Below are 20,774 nucleotides of genomic sequence, written 5' to 3' on the forward strand. Positions count from 1 at the left end.
GGCAGAAGAAATGTACAGTTGTGACATACATTTTAAATTGTCCAAAAGAATAAGGCATCTCTTCAAAATATGTGCTACCTTTTGGTGACAATATTTCTAAACTACTATTTCTTTTCATCAAAACTTACTCTGCACAAAAGCAAATTTTACTGACAGCTCAATCTAGGTTTGTTGTCATCTGACATAGATAAAACCTGCAAAGAAAATTAATATTGTCCTTCTTTCAGACATTTACAGTCTGCTAAAGAGGTAAATCAATGCACATGAGAAACATTCATGAATACAGATGCTCTATTCATTTTTCTCACAGTGCCACTAAGCTAAAATTATTTAAATATCTTTGTGACTAAACATTTATTCTTGCTACATTTCTGTATAAAGAATGGTTGTTTTTACAAAAGAAAAATCACAAAATAGGAACTACTCAAACAAAAACCAATTCCGTTCTATTTTTAGATATTTGTGAAGTCAAACATTCTCTCAAGTGCCACAACATAACAATGGTGGCTTTTGAGGTGGCGCAAACGTACAGTGTCCAGCATCTGAAGGACTTTGTCCTGCTCACAGGCATCTAATCCATCGATGATGACCACCAGCCTTGTCTGATTCTGAGTGAAGCTGTCAATGGTTTTTGCCATCCTGGCCATCAATTCCACTTCACATTTAAGAACCTGTATTGCAAAGGAAGGTATAGAAAGCACTGAAGGAAGATCCAAGAAGCTTAAACATATTTCTTAGAAAGCGTGATAGAAAGTCATCTAATAGGAACAGAAGACATTCAAAGTCCTTGCTGCCAGTTGTGCTTCCACTTAAAATAAGAGCGAGTGCTTCACAATTTACCAAGTGACTACACATAAATTACAGCAGCTGATCCTCAGAATGACACTGTGGGATAGACACTACCATATCTGTTCTAAAAAGAACAAACTGGGTTGAGTGACTAACTTGCCAAGATTAGAGGCTCTGAATGTGAAAAGATTCAGATCTGGATGCAAATCCAAATGATCAAAGCACTACACTGCTGCTGGCTCCCTGATGGCATCTGACCTTTCACTTTGAAAAAGAAAATCCTGTATTATTTATTTTGGTGGTTCAATTTGCTATTTTTAAAAACAGATATCTTTACTGGGCTCTAGAGGAACTTATATTATTAGACAGTAGTTGCTAACTCTTTTGAATAACTTATAAAAGTCTATTTTATAAAAACATGCTACTGTTATGATGTTTCTCACTCCAAATATGTATTTCCACTGGAAAAATCTGGAATAGAACTCAAAATAAATAAAAGGACTGCTGGTTTCTGGTTCTACATATATGTAAACACTTTGGAAGTGGCCACTCCTTGATTACGTAAGCTTATATATGTGTGTGTGTGTCTGTGTGTGTGTGTGTGTGTGTGGTGGGGGGTGTGTGTGTGTGTGTATAATGTACATATTATGTATGCTTATAAATGTAAATGAAATTAGTAACAACAATGATACAAGGGACGGGAGAGAGGAATTAGGATTATTTTGCTATTATAAGATAAACTACCTGAGAAGTGATATAGTATTACTTGAAAGTGGGCTTGGATTAGTTATAAATGCATATTGCAAACCCTAGGGCAACCACTCAAAAAAAACAGTTTAAAAAAAAGTACAACTGATATGCTAAGAAAGGTGAGAAAATGGAATCATAAAAAAATGCTCAATAAAAGCATAAAAGACAAAAAGAAGAGTAGAAGACAAAAATAGGAACAAAAATCAAGCAACAAATAGAAAACAGTAACAAATACGATAGATATTAATCCATCAAAACCAATTATCCCTTTGAGCGTCAGTGTTCTAAAGATATCAATTAAAAGAGATGTCAGAGATGATCAAAAAATAAGAGCTAATTGTATGTTATCTACAAGAAACCCACCTTACATAAAAAGACACACGTAGATTAAAAGTAAATGAATGGAGAAAGCTATACCAACACCAATCAAAAGAGAGGGGGAGTAACTATATTAATTATTATATATATATAATATATATATATTAAAGGGGGGCATTACATAACAACAAAGGAGCTGATTCTCTAAGGAGACATAATAATCCTAAACATTTATATATCTAAGAAAGGAGAATCAAAATATGTAAGACAAAAGCTGACAGAACTGCAAGAAGAAATAGATAAATCCACTATCATAGCTTGAGACCTCAATACCATTCTATAAGGACAGATGCAGCAGTCAGAAAACCAGTAAGGACGCAGTTCAGCTCAACAACACCATCAATCAACTGGCTATAACTGACACCTACACTTATTTCATCCAAAAAAAGAAAAAAAAACAGAATACACATTCTTTTCAAACTCACATAAAGCATTCACCAAGATGGACCACATTCTGAGCCATAAAACACGCCATAACAAATTTAAAATAGAAATCATGCATACAATGTCTTCCCCTCAGTGGAATTAAACTAGAAGTCAAAAACAGAACGATAATTGGAAAATCCCAAAACATGCAGAGATTTAAAAACACACTTCCAAATAACACATGGGTCAAAGAAAAAAGTCTCAAGAGAAATTTTAAAATATTTTGAACTAAATAAAAATGGAAACACAACTTATCAAAATTTGTGGGACGCAACAAAAGAACAGCTGAGAAGAAAATTTATAGCACTGAATGCATATATTCGTAAAGAAGAAAGATATAAAATCAGTAATCTGGCTGGGTGCAGTGGCTCATGCCTATAATCCCAGCACTTTGGGAGGCCAAGGTGGGTGGATCGCTTGAGCTCAGGAGTTCGAGACCAGTGTGGGGAACATGGTGAAACCCTATATCTACAAAAATTAGCCAGGTGTGGTGGCGTGTAGCCTGTGGTCCCAGCTACTCGGCAGGCTGAGGTGGGAGGATCCCTTGAGCCCAGGAGGCAGAGATTGCAGCAAGCTGGGATCGCACCACTGCACTACAGCCTGGGCAACAGAGTGAGACTCTGTCTCAAAAAATAAATAAATAAAAATAAAATAAAATTAATAATCTAAGCTTCCACCTCAGGAAACTAGAAAAAGAGCAAATTAAATCCAAAGTAATCAGAAGAAAAGAAATAATAAAAACTAAAACAGAAATAAAACAATGAAACCAAAAGCTAGTTAGTTCAAAAGATAAACACAATCAATAAGCCTTGGACTAACTAAGATGAAAGAAGAGGAAACACAAATTCAGAAAAACAACAAATAAAAGAGAGGCTACCACTTTAGACCTACCTCATGGACAAAAATAGGATAATAAAGGGATACTACAAACAACTCTATGCCCACAAATTTGATAACTTAGATAAACAGACCAGTTCTTTCAAAGACATAATTTGCCAAAATTCACAAGAACAGGCCTATATCTATTGAAGAAATTGCATCAATAATAATTTTTCAAAACAGAAAGCACCAGGCCCAGAGGGTTCACTAATGAAGTCTACCAAGCACTTACAGAAGAAATTATACCAACTCTACATAGGATCTTTCAGAAGACAGAAGCAAAGGGAATGCTTCCTAACTCATGCTATGAAGTCAGCATCACCCTAATACCCAAAGCAGACGAAGTCTTGACAAGAAAAGCAAACTACAAACCAATAAATATCTCATGAGCATAGATGCAAAAAACCTCAACAAAATATTAGAAAATCATATGCAAAATGTATAAAAAGAATTATACACCACAATCAAGTGAGATTTATGCCAGGTAGGTAGGGCCGGTTCCACATTCAAAAATCAATTAATGTAATCCATCACTTCAACAGACTAGGCTGGGCACAATGGCTCATGCCTGTAATCCCAGCACTTTGGGAGGCCGAGGAGGGAGGGTGGATCACCTGAGGTCAGGAGTTCAAGACCAGCCTGATCAACACGGTGAAACTCCGTCTCTACTAAAAATACAAAATTAGCTGGGCATGCTGTTGCATGCCTGTAATCTCACCTACTTGGGAGGCTGAGGCAGGAGAATCACTTGAACCCGTAAGGTGGAGGTTGTAGTGAGCTGAGATGGCACCACTGCACTCCAGCCTGGGCAACAAGAGTAAAACTCCGTCTCAAAAAAAAAAAAAGAAACAGGCTAAAGAAGAAAGATCACATGATTGCATAATTAGATAAAGCAAAAGCATTTGACAAAATCCAACACCATTTATGGTAGAAACTCTCAGTAAACTAGAAATAGAGAGGAACTTCTTCAACTTGATAAAGAGTATCTGTAGTTAACATCATACTTAATGGTGAGAACATGAAAACATCTACTAAGATCAGGAACGAGGCAAGATTGTCCCTTTTCTTACCACTCCTTTTCAACATAGTACTGCAAGTCCTAACTAATGCAATAAAACAAACAAACAAAAAGGAAATAAAAGGTATGAAGACTGGGAAGAAAGAAAGAAAACTGTCTTAGTTCACAGATGACTTGACTCTCTATGTAGAAAAACCGAAAGAACCACAATGAAAAAAAACTCCTGGGACTAACAAACAATTATAGCAAGATTTCAGATTAATACAAAAGTTGATCACTTTCCTATATATCAGCGTCAAACATGAAATTAAGAACACAATTACTATATATATTAACACTGCAAAAAACGAAATAGGTATAAATCTAACAAAATATGTATAAGATCTATATGAGAAAAACCACAAAACTCTTGAAAGAAATCAAGGAAGAACTAAATAAATGAGGAGATATTCCATGTTCATGGGTAGGAAGACTCAATACTTGACCTAAAGATTTAACGCAATCTCAATGAAAATCCCAGCAAGTTATTCAAGGTGAATCAAAAGTTCATATGAGGAGAAAAAGACCCAGAATAGCCAACACAGTATTGAAGGAGGAGAACAAAATAGGAGGACTGACACTACCCAACTTCAAGAAAATAGAGCTAGAGTAATCAAACAGTGTGGTATGCGCAAACGAACAGACAAAGAGAAAGAGCCCAGAAACAGACCTACACAAATATAGTCAATTGATCTTTGACAAGCGGCAAAGGCAATACAATGCAAGAAATAGCGTTTTTAACAAATGGTGCTGGAACAACTGGAAACAAAAAAAAAAAAAGAAAAGAAGCAAGGAAGCAAGAAAGCAAGCAAGAAAAGAATCTAGACACATTCACACTTCACAAAAATTAACTCAAAATAGCTCACAGACCTAAATGCAAAAGTATAAAACACCTAGAAAATGACAGAGGATAAAATCTAGGTGACCGTAGGTTTGGTGTTAACTTTTTAGATAGGACACTAAAAGCAAGATCCATGAAAGAAAGAATTAGTAAGCTAGACTTCATCAAAAATGTCTGCTCTGCAAAAGACACTGTCAAGAGAATGAAAAGCAACCAAAAGAATGGAGCAAAATATTTGCAAAAAGCTTATCTGATAAAGGACCATTAGCCAAAATACACAAAGAACTCTTAAAACTCAACAATAAGAAAATGAACAACCTGACTGAAAAATAAGCCAAGACCTTCACAGCCAATTCACCAAAGAAGACATACAGATAGCAAATAAGCACATGAAAATATGCTCCACAACATGTGTAATCAGGGAAATGCAAATTCAAACAATAAGATACCACTGCACACCTAACAGAATGGCCAAAATCCAGAACACCAATAATACCAAATGCTGGTGAGGATGTGATGTGGAGCAACAGGAGCCTCATTCATTTCTGGTGGGAATGCAAAATAGCCACCTCAGAACAGTCTGGTTGTTTCTAACAAAACGAAACATCATACAATCTAGCAATCACACTCCTTGGTATTTACCCAAAGGAGTTTTCAAATCCTTTATGTTCACACAAAAGCCTGTCCACAAAAGTTTATAGCAGCTTTATTCATACTTGCCAAAACTTGGAAGCAATAAAGATGTCCTTCAGTAGATAAATGTATAAATGAACTGTGATATATCCAGACAATGGCACATTAGCCATGCTAAAAAGAAATGAGCTAGCAGGTCATGAAAAGACATGAAGGGCACTTAAATGCATATGACTACGTGAAAGAAGCCAATCTGAAAAGACTACACATGTATGATTCAACTATATGACATTCTGGAAAGGGCAAAACTATGGCGATAGTAAAAAGAAATGGTAGCCAGGGGTTAGGGAGGAGGGTGGAGGGAGGGGTGAACAGGTGTGAAGAGGTGAAGCACAGAAGATTTTGAGGGCAATAAATCTACTCTGTATAAGACTATAATGGTGGATACATGTTATACATTTGTCCAAGCCCACAGAATGTACCACACCAAGAGTGAACCCTACTGTAAACTATGGATGCTGGGTGATTATGATGTGTCAGCCTAAGTTCATCAATTGTAACAAATGTACTGCTCTGGTGGGTAATCGTGCCAATTGGGGAGGCTGTGTATGTGTGGGGGAAGTGGGTATATGGGATATCTTTGCACTTCCCTCTAAATTTTACCGTGAACTTAAAACTACCTTAAATTATAGTCTTGAATGAACGAATGAATGAATGAACAAATTAAACTAAAATAAATGCAACACTTTAACATTTAGAGAGTGTACTTCCTAAAGCCCAAATGAGCATGGCAGTGGCAACATATTCGCATTACAATTTTTTCTAATAACCAATGAGTGCTTACTTTCATGAATCCTTCACTTTTCAATTTGTGCAGTTTGGAGGCTGCATTATGGAGGCGTTTTCTTTGGGAATTCAGGAGCGAGTCCAGCACTTGCCACCATGTACGACAGTTCAACACAAAGGCCAATCCCACTACAGATGCGATTGATATGAGGACAGCATTTACAGTCAGATGCTTTGGGTCAACTCTAAATATAGCCAGAAGAGTAATTCCAGATATAATGCAGCCAATGATAAAAAGGAAGATGACAAAAGATGGGAGACAACATGTTTTTTTCCATTTCTTTTTACCTGTAATGCAACAAATGGTTTTAATAATTAACATATCAAGGATCTAGAAAATCCTAACATTATAGTCACAATACCTGATGAGTCTAATGTTCAAGGTGTGTTTTCATGAAAATAAACTGAACATCTATCCCACCCCCATCCCTTACACACAAAGAAGGAAGGAAGGAAATCCTACCCTGAGTATCTTCAGTCTTGAATACTCGAAAAAGCCTGGTTGCCAAAAAGCCAAACTCTCTTTCACAAGCATCCGAGAGGGTTGCAATCATTTCAGCCAGAGAAGTTTCTCCACCTACACTGGACAGTCTATTGTAATCTGTAAACAAAAACCTTGAAGAAAAGAACAAATCAAACATTACTTTATTATCTAAAGTAACAAATAACTTCAATGTATGTCATCTTTGCATCACTTACCCTTTATTTTCTTTTTGTCTCTTTCAAAATATTGTTTTTTAAATTCCAAGGAGGGAAAAGAATTTGTAATTAGGTAGCTTCCACTTCTAAAATCTTACATACTTTTCTTAGGAAAAAACAGTAACAAAAGTGAAATGTGCAGGGCCATATAAAGTAATTCTGACTAAGGACAGGCGGGGGAAAGTTACGCCAGAACTTAGATGTGGAGTATCAAGACACCCCAACAGATCTCACGACATAGTGGTTAAAAGGTGACACACGTGTCATGATGTGGCCACCAAGAGTTGCACAAGAAAGTTTTCTAACACCAACGAAAGAGACTCTAACCCTGAAAAAATATTAATTACAGTCATTAAAGAATTTCAAGCCCAGTAATACCATTTAAAAACTCAAGTTTTAGCATGGCTTATTTTATTTATAGCTTCCACGTCTACCAGGGATTGAGAAATAGTTGTAAAATATTCTCTTCACAATTGATCTTCAAAATTAAGTGAATTATTTGTATTCAGAGTCTCTGAATCATTATTATTTCTGTTAGTTCCTTTCTCCCTTCCATCTCTAAATTAAACTCTCATCTCAGTCCAGTAGATAAGCATTGCTCTCAGAATACAATCTGTAATATACTGTGTGGTCTTGACGATGCTACTTTAATTGTTCTAACTGAAAAAAAAAAATACCACCTCATTAATTTAGACTGGTTTCCTTATTTTCTGTAAAAATATTCCCCCAATTATTTTATTCTGTTTTCCTTTTAACTTTTTCACTTTTAAATCCTTTTCTTAATACTTAATTCTCTATGCTAGTTACTTAAAAGTTTTTACCTTTATTTTTCTCTTATACTCAGTTTTAATATTTTACCTGGTTTGGCTTATTTATTTTCATCTTAAATTACACTTATTTTTTCTTATAACTAAAAAATTTTCATCTTTTAATGCTTTTTTTTTTTGAGCAGGGTCTCACTTTGTCACCTAGGCTGCAGTGCGGTGGCGTGATCTTGGCTCACTGTACCCTCAACCCCCGAAGCTTAAGCAGTCCTCCCACTTCAGCCTCCCAAGCAGCTAGAACTACAGGCACGCACCACCACACCCAGCTAATTTTTCTATTTTTTGTAGAGATGGGGTTTTGCCTTTACCCAGGCTTGTTTTGAACTCCTGAGCTCAAGCAATTGACCACTTTGGCCTCCCACAGTGCTGGGATTACAGGTGTGAGCCACCACATCTGGCTTAATACATTTTAAATTCTTACATTGCTTACTTCCATTGAATTTCTTTTGCTTTTAACTTTCTAGCTTTTTTTTTTTTTCATTTCACTGTCCTCTGGAGCCCTCTACCTTTCCTTTATTCCTGGACTTAAACATTTTTCATCTTTTCTTTTTTCTCATAAATTTCCTACTTAATATGAATAATAATTTTAGACAGACATGTGAATATATTTCCTGAGCTGAGAAAAGCACAGCTCAGAGAGGGGAGCTGGGTTTCCCCAGGTTAACCGCTCACATAAGGAAGGGCCAGGTCTCCAGCGGGAAGCTCTCTGGGGACCAAGGCCAGTGGCTGGACCCCTCCTCCATCCAGTGCTCTCTTCAAAGTGTGTTCCAAAAGATGGTAACAGGTGACATAACAGGGAGAAAAGGTTTATGCTTAAATAAAATTTGGTAAATAAAAGTTAAACAGGTTTCTTTATGGAAAGGTGCCTCTGATCCTTTAACGTACAGGAGGGATATATAATCTGAAGTGTTTCCCACGGTATTTGACCAGGGCATGTTTTTATTTCTGTATGTAAAAGGTTCCAATGTTTTTTGGAACATACATTGAGAAATTATATTCTATAAACTTTTTTTTTTTTTTGAGACAGAGTTTCGTTCTTGTCGCCCAGGCTGGAGTGCAATGGCGCGATCCTGGCTCACTGCAACCTCTGCCTCCCAGGTTCAAGCGATTCTCCTGCTTCATCCTTCCAAGTAGCTAGGACTACAGGCATGCGCCATGACGCCCCCGCTAATTTTGTATTTTTAGTAGAGATGGGGTTTCACCATGTTGGCCAGGCTGGTCTCGAACTCCTGACCTCAGGTGATCTGCCCACCTTGGCCTCCCAAAGTGCTGGGATTACAAGCGTGAGCCACCACACCCGGCTCCTATAAACTTTCCGAAGTGAAAAATATTTTTTTCTGAATCTCATTGAAGATTTCTTCTGTCAAATGGTACAACTCACCTCACAGGTAAAGCTTTAGTAGTCTGCTCTGGCAACTCAGGTGGATTCACAAACATCAATTTAAGGAGGAGTTCCAAATATCCAATATGTCTTGCCAATCTAGTGCTGAGGACCCAGGCCCAATTCCAACTCTCTCCTTCTCTTCGTCCACCAAAGTAAATGACAACTGAAATTCACAGTTTAAAAAAGTTATCCAAAGCAGTCACTAGTCAAGCAGATCTTTTCTCCAAAGATCAAGTATCAAGTAATGAGAGCTAAGCTTACATAGCTTCCTATGGTCCCATACTATTTCCTAACTACTCCTCAAAGAATTCCATTAACCTCCCCTAAGATACAGAAGATATGAAAAATGAAAAGTAAACTGACTAAAACATGCCTTAAACAGAAACATAACTGCAGTTCAGATTCAAATGCAAATCATCTTGGGTTTATCACTATTCGCAACTGGTGAAGTTGGTTATCAGTTCCTCTAACAGTAAATCTATTTCCTTTCTTGCAACTGAAGACACCCCCAAGAATAGGGATTATATTATATTTTTTTTATTTTGCTTTTAGATAAAATTAAAAGTACAGACATGGTCAAAATGCTCAAGAGCATACCAATGATGGCTTTGAAGCCTTCTTTTCAGAAAAAGAATTTTTTTTTTTTTTTTTTTTTTGAGATGGAGTCTCGCTCTGTTGCCCAGGCTGGAGAGCAGTGGCGCCATCTCGGCTCACTGCAACCTCCCCCTCCCAGGTTCACGCCATTCTCCTGCCTCAGCCTCCCGAGTAGCTGGGACTACAGGCGCCCGCCATCTTGCCCGGCTAATTTTTTTGTATATTTAGTAGAGACGGGGTTTCACCATGTCAGCCAGGATGGTCTCGATCTCCTGACCTTACGATCTGCCCGCCTTGGGCTCCCAAAGTGCTGGGATTACAGGCGTGAGAGCCACCGCACCCGGCCCAGAAAAAGATTTAAATATAAATCATTAATTAACAAAAAGAGTAAGTATAATAATATAGGTTCTTGCTTCAAGATTAACAAGTAGTACATTAGTTTATAAGCTACTTCAGCCAAGTTGTGAGCAATGTTCCTTTAGGAAAATTTATGGAGTAGCAAAAAGATCAATTTTCTCACCCAATTATGAAAATCACATACAGGTTTTAAAAGACAGATAAAGAAAATGTTTTTTCTTTATCTATGAATCTTAACGTTTTCTCCATTTTTGAAAAAGATAAAAAGCAAAGACTTACTAAAGAATATATATAAGAGAGCCAAGAAGCTCAGTGACACTGCTATTCCAAGATTTGGGTGGACCGTGAAGGCAAACAATAAACCAAGCCCTCCACAAAGTAGCAGGGTAAGAAACACTATGAGCCATGAGAACTGAAAGAGAGGCTCAATCTGTTGTCCGGCGAAGGTTTTCATTTCGTCTGAAAGAGAATTTAATACGAAACCTTATTCCTGTTTTGTTTAAGAAATACAACTTTTAACTCAATATGCAGTTTTCACATTTTCAATGTAAACATTTATTGGACACTTAGTAGGTCCCTAGATGGAATACTGCCACTTAACCATTTTACCCAGTGTTCTCTTGCCAAAGATGAACATCTCACCCCCAGGACCACAGCTAGGCCTGACTCGCCACCCTCTCCTGCTTCACGTGGAGGATGTACAAAACCCCTTCTCATATACTCCCATCTGTCAAGATTTTCTTGAGATTTGTTTTTTGTGGTTTGCATTAACACAAACAACAAATATTATGCATATGCATATTGTTTCCACATGCAAAAATAAAAACTATACCCTATATCTTCAAACTACATATCACCACCATTCCACTGTGATCCTTCTCATCCCTTCTCCCTCCAATCACATTTGAGAATACTGTTCTTAAAGGTGCATGTTGAGCCCAATGGAGTCCCACACAAGTAATTCTTTGTACAAAACTTGGGGAAAATTTTATAGGCAATACTGAAACCTATCCTTGAAGAATAAGTAAGCTTTTGCCAAGCAAAAGGCATGCATGTTGGGTGGGTGGTAGTGAGGCCACTAAGGAGCTGCTAATAGAGGGAGCAACCTGGGAAACACATCTGGTCTGTTCTTGCAAGAGCAAACAGTCCTCTGTGACTGAAGCTGGGGCACATGCCAGAGGTGGTGCTGGCAGGTGGGACCATGCAAATTGACAAGTCTGTGAAGGGCCCGAAAAAAACTTGCCAGCAAGGGTTTTATGTGGGGTTATCACACAATTGGATCTGCTTTAGAAAGAGAACTCAAATGACCGTGTGAAGGACCAACCAGAGGGGAGTTCATCTCAGTAAACCACATAACACACATGCTTATACAGAAAGTGGTCTTCCTCTTTATTTCAGAAAAATCCCCAGAGAAAACCTTGCTTTATATATACAGACTTTGTACAAGCAAGCCCTTTACCTTCTAGTTTCTTGAGTAAGAAAGATTTCCCACTTCCCCACTGTGCATATAACCCCACACAAATGGGTGGCTGCATGGTAGGCTCACTGAGAATATCTGCCAGGGCACTGCTATATAAATCATATCCAAGCATGTCACCGTCTGTTTCAGTAGGAGACAAGTGTCCTGTAATTAAAACACATCATATCTTACATTAAACAGTGGCATTACTATTAGAAATGAACACTATTTTCATTGTTTCCTTGATTAGAGAGAAAAAAATTATTTCAAATGTTTATACCCATGTAGGGACAGTTTCAGGGAGTCTCTGAGCCTATTCTGACTTGGAAGGCTACCTGATTTAAAATTCAGAGATTCTTAAATTACTATCGTATTTCATAAAAAGTTTCAGATATTCTTAAATTACTATCATATTTCATAGAACTTGATACTTATTAATTATATGATACATCATTTTTATGTATAACTAAGAAAGAACAAAATGTTGCCAAATTGTGACATCATGCTTTCTTGTCCATCACTTACAAGACACATTCCAATTTCAGAGATGTTAAATTATGGGAACATTGTGCATTTTAGAATCGATAAAATATGATTAACACAAATAAGCATATAAAATAAATTTAGTACGTGTAATACCTATACAAAGAAAGTTGTAAAATGTTACTGAAGAACATAATAGATAATAATAGAAAAAGAAACATTTTATGATTCCAGGAAGAAAGGTTCAGCAATTCTCCCAAATTATTCTATCACTTTAAGGCAGTTCTAATTAAAATCCATGAGAATTTTGTTTTAATTGAAAGGAAAGAAGAATGTGTAAGAATAGAAAAAAAAATTAAAGACTACTGAAGGGTAGTTGCCACTGGAGAAGAATAAAAATGTAAAACAATAATTTGAACATTCTGGAACTCATATAGGATATTAACATAAGTGGCATTTCAAATAAGGCAGGAAAGGATGAATTAGTAAGTGGTGTTGGGAAAGTTTAATCATTCATGAAAAAATTAAATTAAAATGCTATATACCTCATAGCCTCAACAAAATTTTCTGAAACATTAAAAAATTAAGTAGAAAAAAGTAAAACCATAGAAGTACTAGAAGGAAATATAGGAAAAACTTTAAAAATCTTTGTTTAAAAAGGCCTTTCTTTTGCAATGTAATACTAAGGCCAGAACTGCAGGAAAAGACTAATGAATAAACTACAAAAATGTAAAACTTTTGAATGAGGAATAAAAATCCATGACCATCAACCAAGAGTATGCCGGGGGAGAGGAATGCAGCACATGGGATAGACCCAGGATCAATATCCATAACACAGAAAGACTCTTACATCAATTTTTTTAAAATATTAAAAACTAAAAAGTGGGCAAAGGATACAAAAAGGAAACTGGCAAGAATACAAATAGCCTATGAACATATTACACATTATCTAAGCCAAAAGGCTGAGAAGCAATAGCCTATGAATATATTACAAGATCTCAATTTCACTAATAATTTTAAAACACAAATTGAAATGAGATTTTCTTTTCTTATTTATCTGATTAGCAAAGAGTAAGAGGCTGGAAATACCCAGTGCTAGCAAGCTTGTGGGGAATTGTGGTATCTTACACTGCCAGAGGGAGAAGAAATTTTTACAACCATTTTGGAAAGTCTATCAAAACTATGGGCATCCACTGACTTGGCAATTCTACTTCTGGGAATTTACCCTAAGAAAATAATCCTAATTGTACCCCCTGAATCTCTAATAATATTTTCAAAAGAAAGAAAAAAAATCCTAAAAATAAGAGTCAATGGATATACGTACAAAGGTGTTCACTGCAGCACTAGTTGTTAGCAAAACAAACTAAATATTCACCAATAGCGAACTCAATGTACGAAAAATTATGCAATAATTAAAATATGACACTTTAAGCTTTTGTAACATATTATAACTCAATTTTTATTTTTTAAAACTATATACATAGTATGTAACATTTTTATAAGCATAAAGAAAAGCCTGGAGGGTCATTTAAACAATTACAAGTTGGGATATAGGGGGTAATGGGGAATTTTCACTTTCTGCTATACTCATGTTTTCATTCTTGAAATGTAATTAGTGCACATTACTATTATAATAAGAAAAAATATTTTAAAATACAAAAAGTCATAAAAAAATAGAATCATGGCCAGGCACAGTGGCTCATGTCTGTAATCCCAGCACTTTGGGAGGCCAAGGTGGGAGGATCACTCAGCCCCAGACTAGGGAACATGGCAAGACCTCGTCTCTACAAAAAAAGAAAAAAAATCAGCTGGGTGTGGTAGCATGGGCCTGTAGTTCCAAGTACTCAGGAGGCTGAGGTGGGAGCATCGCTTAAGCCCAGGAATTTGAGGTTGCAGTGAGCTATGATTGCATCACTGTACTCCAGCCTGGGCAACAGAGTGAGACCCAGTGCAGTGGTGTGATCTTGGCTCACTGCAATCTCCATCTCCCTGGCTCAAGAGATCCTCCCACCTCAGCCTCCCAAGAAGCTAGGACTACAAGCACACCACCACGCTCAGCTAATTTTTTAATCTTTTTGTGGAGATGAGGTCTCACTATACTGCCCAGGCTTGTCTCAAACTCCTGGGGTCAAGCAATCCTCCCACCTCGGCCTCCTCAAGTGCTGGGATTACAGGCATGAGCCACCATGCCTGGCCTTATTTTCCATATTCTTTAATGGAACATTGATTATTTAAAAGCTCAGTTAGGAGCAAAACTCAATACTTACTGGCTCCAAATATTTGAGTTAAAATACTCTTCTGATGGCTACAGTCAATATTATAAGGAGTCTCGCCTGCTTTGTTGGGCCTATAAAGTAATCGCCCATCTTTGGGATTTCTTAAAAGCAGTTCTGCCAGTTTCCGGCTCCTTCCACGAATAGCAATATGCAAGGGAGTATCTCCTTTCTGTAAAATAATAGTACGAAACTTGAACTTTCTTATCTTTATATATAGTATGCAGACAGTAACAATTTTCATGTTTCTGTAAAATAACAAAATCTGAACTTTTCTTATTTTTCATATAAAGCACATATATAATATGAATTTTTATCTCTATCTTCCCCATAATATCCTTCTGTAGCTCCTCATCCAGCTTTGCTCAGATACTGTTTCTCCCACAGCCCTCTAGAATGAAGGTCATTCTTTTCCCCTTTTCTTAACTCAGTGAAAGAGGAGAAGCAACAGGCTTTCTCCCTGCAGCTCCTCCTAGGCCATGGGTCCACTTCATTAGTATCCCTCCATCATCCAAATATTTATTGTCCAAGGATGTCAACTACCTTCCTCAACTAATTTAAATTCTATTTCACAGCTTTCTTCATTTGTCTAGAAAGCGTTACAATCCATGCGGACAGCCATCTAACACAAGTGATCTTGTCAGCTCCATGACCTTTGTCAACCATTTGCCACAGTGAACCCTTAAATCTCATCACTCTACATTCTCCACCTGAGTCCTCTATGTACACCTATCCTCCTCCGACTCTCTCCTCTCCTCTTCCATTCTCCTCACCTTTCCACTCTCCTCACCTTTCACTTTTCCCTATCAACCCACCTTCTCTCCTTATTAGCATCTCCAATCACATTAGTGCTCACATCCAACACTAATGAAAGCTAACATGTAAATTTCAAAAGTCCTCTTCGGGCTGCAAAGTGCTCTCCTATTGATTACTTCACAAACACCTTGACAAATTAAATTCTCAGTTCTCATCCACACTGATCTCCAGGACACTAAATGAAAATGACCTACACATTCTTCCTGTGGCTTCCAAGGCACGACCTTATCTTGAACTTTTCATCTTCTAGACTCTCCTCTCATGTCCTAAAAAATGTGGTAGCATAACTATGCACCAGACTCACTATATGTAAGGCTCTGTGCTTCGTACTTTGGAGGATATAAAGATGTAAGACAAAATAGTTGCTGACCTTAAGTAGCTTATGTCGTAATAGGAAGAGACTGGATAAACATGCACAATTTAAAAACTGCAGTATGACACACAGCATAAGAGTCCATTTTGACTTCAGCTTTCATCTTTCTTCACACCGATCATCTTAGTCGCTCCCATGCAACTCTCTATCCTAGTAACTAATTGCCAAATTTCCATCACCAGCCTTGATTTCTTGCCCAGATTCCAGTACTAGATTTCCCAATGTCTACTGGCCACAGGCTCCTGAATGTCTTATCAGCCCTCAAACTAAACATATCCAAACCCAATTTCATCTTATTTTCCCATCTCAATTCCAATTCTCATCCCCAGACCTGTGAGAAGACAAAACAGTAGCAGCAGCATTTCTGCCAGATACAAAATTCCTATAAATGCAGGGAGGATATTAGCATACTTTGCTGACAGGCTGAAAATAATCAGAGAGCAGTGACGGGCAAGGTAAAAATAACATTAATCGTCACTTTTAAAATTGTTTTTATGAAATTCTCTATGAAGATCCAGGTTCAAGACTTTTAAAAGTTTGTATCCCAAATTCTAGCAGGATAGCACTTTACCCGTCCTCAGTAAGAATGTGTTCATGAATGAACAACTGTTGCAACTATCATGTGTATTTGTCAACAAGTATCATGTGCTGACTCTGGGCACAGCAACACACAAAAGAATACCAAGGCAGAGGCCTTCAGGAAACTTATTAATGAGTATAAAGCAATTACTTAAGATAGCATATTATATAATTAACAAGGCTATATGGAACCTTGAAGGATACAGTCTGGTGGTTCTGTATCGCAAATTGGGGGACCAGTGTCAGATGAGTCAATGGCAGATTGAGAAAAACAGGCATTATAAGAAGTTTTCTAGAAAGCTACATATATTCCATTTTGAAAACTCTTCTTTGACTTTTTATGTCTTCTAGTTTTTAATATTAAAGTTTCCTTTCTTTGATATGACATGTTAACATGGTAATGACAGGGGGGAGGTGCTTTTATGTTTTAAAATAATGTTGTAACATGGCAAAATGAAACATAAACACATTGACTCGTGACTCCCTGTTTTTGTTTAACTGCCTTATAACTAATAGAAAAACAAACTTCAATCTATTATTAATTAGTAAAGCCCAAACCATATCATTCATCAGAGGAGAAAATTTACAATATTATTTTTTACTTTATACATCAGTTCACTTCTATCCTGGGGGAAAACCAATTTAAAGTACAGAAAGAAATAAGCTTGTTTAAAATAAAAAGAAACTAAAATGAAAAATCAAATCTATATGAAGTATGAAGCCACTTAGAGCTAAACTTATTATAGAAAATATAAAAATTCCTCTGAAAGGATTATAGCAAGGACACGCGGCAGAACAAACACATTGACTCCTGTCAGTGAACATTAACACCGTCTGCTCTGAGCATCGGCCTCCTCCAGCCCCTGTGCATTCTTTCCTCCTGTTTATCTGCAGCAAGCTCTACCCTGATGAAGGCAGAGCCTCCTCCTGATGTGGTAGTCAATGGCAGTGCCCCACAGCTGCTGTGAGCCGTAGAAGGAAAGTCGGAAGCAGCTGCGTTAATAGCACACTGAGCCCACCCACTCCTCAGCACACTACTGTGTGGGATCCAAAGCCCACACAGACATCCCCAGCAAGTCATCTCTCCCCACACAACCTAAAATCAGATCCCCATTAAATCCACTCCATATAGAGGTCAGTCGACCAACAGCTTTCCATACAGTGTTCTCTCCGCACAGATGTTTTACCTTATCTACAGCAGACACTTTAGCACCTTTATCTAGCAGCAGCTCCACCACTTCAATGTTTCTCATCTTGGTAGCCTTTATAAGTGGCGTTTCACCATCCTGTGGGCACAAATAAGAACATTTGCCAGATTAATAGCTTGACTCCTGTGTTTATGTCATACAAATGCACATGTCAAGAAATATCTGACTCTGGTAACAGCCTATATTTAAAACCCTCTCAAGAAAACATAAAAGCTAACAACAAAAAAATGCTTTTCCTTTACACCCACTCATTTGTATCAAAGTGACTGTAAATCACGTAGCCAGGTGTGGGACCTGCCCCAGCTGCTCGTAAGCTACAGCCGGCAGCAGTGGCTGCTTCTGCCCTACCCCAGGTTCTACCACTGACCTGGGGCAGCTCCCCTCCAGAGGCTACTTCCCGTTCTCCCCACCGACCAACCCACAGCCCAGCCTGTCAACGTCCAGGTAAGCCAGTGTCCAGAGTTTTTCAGAAATGTATACCAACATCACTTCAATTCTCAGTGAAACCATTTGAAACAAGCAGTATGCCTTCAGAAAACCTCAAAAGAGTTCATGATTGCTTTCAAAACCAAAGGAAGGGAAACAAGAAGAGACCACAATTCAGCACTGAGTTAGACAAAAATCTGGTCAGAAGCCACAGGTAGTCACCCTGGCTGACACCAAGGTCCAAAAGAAAAAGAAAAAAGAGGATTAAGGAGCCACCTGCAAACCAGAAGGTATCTCAGAAATTTTCTATCCTGGGGTACTGGAAGTACCATCACTGATTTAGAAATTGGCCGGTCCTGATCTACAGCAGATGACATAGGATTGTCTTATGGATGACTCTATAATTTTGCTTTATTCATTAAGAATTCCTGCCATATCAACCCAGAATTCCAAATATATTTTCCCCATAGAAAATGATTACACATACGCTAAATAGGAGACCACAGTATTAGATAATTTTTTATTTTTTACACAATTTGAGTAAAACAGTTGAAAGTAGCTAGTCTGGGGAACCAACCACCAGTCACATGGTTATTTATGTATTCATTTAAAGAGACAGGGTCTCACTATATTGCCCAGGCTGGCCTGGAACTCCTGAGCACACGCCATCTCCCCACAAAGGAATGTGTTCAGATAACAGTGGCATAAATGAATTTGGGAGAGATGAGCTGTCCAAATAATAACAATTTATGAATGGCTGATATTGCACTTCCTGAGAAGTATTTAATTGAAGTAACAACACACTGTATTTTGCTATGAATACACAAATCCTGAAAGGATACAAAGTTACTCCTCAATGTGATAGAGAATATTACCAGTAAAATCAGTGTAACTCTAACATCAAACAAAGACGACTGAAATAAAATGAGCAGTACTAACATTCAGCATAAGGTGCTGCTAACAGAATAGAAATGCCATTTATACCTTTGTGCATATTTCAGTGTCAGGATTGCACTGTAAGATATCTCTCACCATTGTTGCATTTCCTTTCTCAACAGCCCAATACAAAGCAGTTTTATTATCCTAGATAATTAAAAAAAACACAATCACTTCATGTAAGATACAATATTTAAAACTGCTACTTATAAATACAAAACATTTCTGTCAGAAAGCATTCCAACAGGCAGCATGGTAGGAAATACTATTAATCCTTATGCTATCTTGGAGTTACTTTTGAGAAATTCTTTGTGAAAGAAGCCTAGGAAAACTTCGTATTACTTAACCTAAAAAGTAGCAATCCCACATAGTTAATAAACTACACTTTTGTAATGTAATCAGATTTCAGGAACACACACTGGGTTAGGAGTCATCAGTACCTGAACCCTGTAAACTCAGACATGTCACTTGGCTATTCTGACCCTTAGATTTTCATCTGTAACATGCTGTAAGTATTGCCCAATTTTTCAAAAGATAATGCACGAAAATGTACTTCACAAATATAAGGCATTATCATTTTTAGCTTTCTTAATTTCCATCCATCCCATACCCCTATAACTGCCTTGATCAGATCTTTAAAATCTTATCTAGCTCAAAACCCAAAAATCAATCCACACAGACCTTGAAAGTAGAGCTAGAGAACAACAAAAAAACGAACTCAAACACAGAAGAGGACTCACAGACGCAAGGAAGTTAGGTAAAAGTCCAAGTAGGTGGCCTAGAACCCATCTTTAGTGGCAATGTGATTTTAACCCAGGAGATAATGAATGACTTTTGCAGCAGCCACATTAAGTTCCTAATACCAAAATTTCCTCAACAGTTTCTCTTCTAAAAAATGTACACTAGCTGCCCAACTCAAACTTCCCAGGCCCTACCCGCCTCCCATTTCATTTCTCCACCTCTCCCCACCATCCCCACCACCATGCCTACCATCCCACTGCCCAATGCCAAATGATTCATTCACTAGCTATGAAATGCGGTCTTTCACTTTCTAATTTTCTCTAATTTTCTCATCCTATTACAACTCCCCTTGCCTGAAACACCCAGCTTTCCTTTTCTATTTTTTTTTTTTTAAGAGACAAGGTCTTACTCTGTCACCCAGGCTAGAGTGCAATGGCACAGTCACAGCTCACTATAACCTCAAACTCCTGGGCTCAAGGGATCTTCCCACCTCAGCCTCCCCAAAGTGCTGGGATTACAGGCATCAGCAACCCGGCCAGGCTCTTCACCTACCTAAATCCAACTCATCTTCAAACTTAGCTCAAGTTCTACCTTCTTCCAAAAGCCCCAGACCTTAAGGCCTTCTTTCCCTACCTCAAGACTCATACTTGAACCTTTTGCTAGGCAATCAATCATATACCATCTTGTGGCTTCACTTTTTATGTTAAAAGCATAAAAATAAACAAACTAAAATCTCTCAAATTAAAATACATGTGTCTTAAAGACAAGGGGCCCATGTTAATTCCCCCATAACATTTGGCATAATAGTTATAGTTTGATTCAAAAATGGATTTTGATACAAGAGATTTTTGGCCAAATACAAGAAAAAACTGAGCAGAAATGTAGACTGTCCAACAACAAAATGAAGACGCCAAGAACTTTTTCTAAAGTCTAAAGCTCTTGAAGTATTTGATAAATTCACAACTGTGGGCAAGGCTTTTATCTAAAATTAATAATCTTTGTGGTTCTATGAACTATGATTGC

At 37.5% G+C, this 20,774-nt stretch overlaps 1 protein-coding gene across 16 annotated transcripts in view; it reads right to left on the minus strand.

Annotated features, from left to right (window-relative positions):
* Positions 1–20,774, minus strand: part of KIDINS220 (kinase D interacting substrate 220) — a 116,533-nt gene that overhangs the window by 58,063 nt on the left and 37,696 nt on the right. For all 16 annotated transcript variants that reach the window (NR_145965.2, NR_145964.2, NM_001348741.2 and 13 more), the window contains 9 exons: positions 19,059–19,157; positions 17,628–17,726; positions 14,667–14,844; positions 11,917–12,081; positions 10,737–10,916; positions 9,504–9,669; positions 7,063–7,214; positions 6,598–6,887; positions 531–671 (listed from right to left, as the gene is read on the minus strand). Coding sequence is in view for 14 of the 16 variants with exons in the window: in NM_001348741.2 (NP_001335670.1) it covers positions 531–671; positions 6,598–6,887; positions 7,063–7,214; positions 9,504–9,669; positions 10,737–10,916; positions 11,917–12,081; positions 14,667–14,844; positions 17,628–17,726; positions 19,059–19,157 (1,470 nt within the window). In the remaining 2 variants the exon portion in view is untranslated. The remainder of the gene's footprint in view (positions 1–530; positions 672–6,597; positions 6,888–7,062; positions 7,215–9,503; positions 9,670–10,736; positions 10,917–11,916; positions 12,082–14,666; positions 14,845–17,627; positions 17,727–19,058; positions 19,158–20,774) is intronic.

The sequence above is a fragment of the Homo sapiens genome, chromosome 2 (genome assembly GCF_000001405.40).
Source record: "Homo sapiens chromosome 2, GRCh38.p14 Primary Assembly".
NCBI classification, from domain to species: Eukaryota; Metazoa; Chordata; class Mammalia; order Primates; family Hominidae; genus Homo; species Homo sapiens.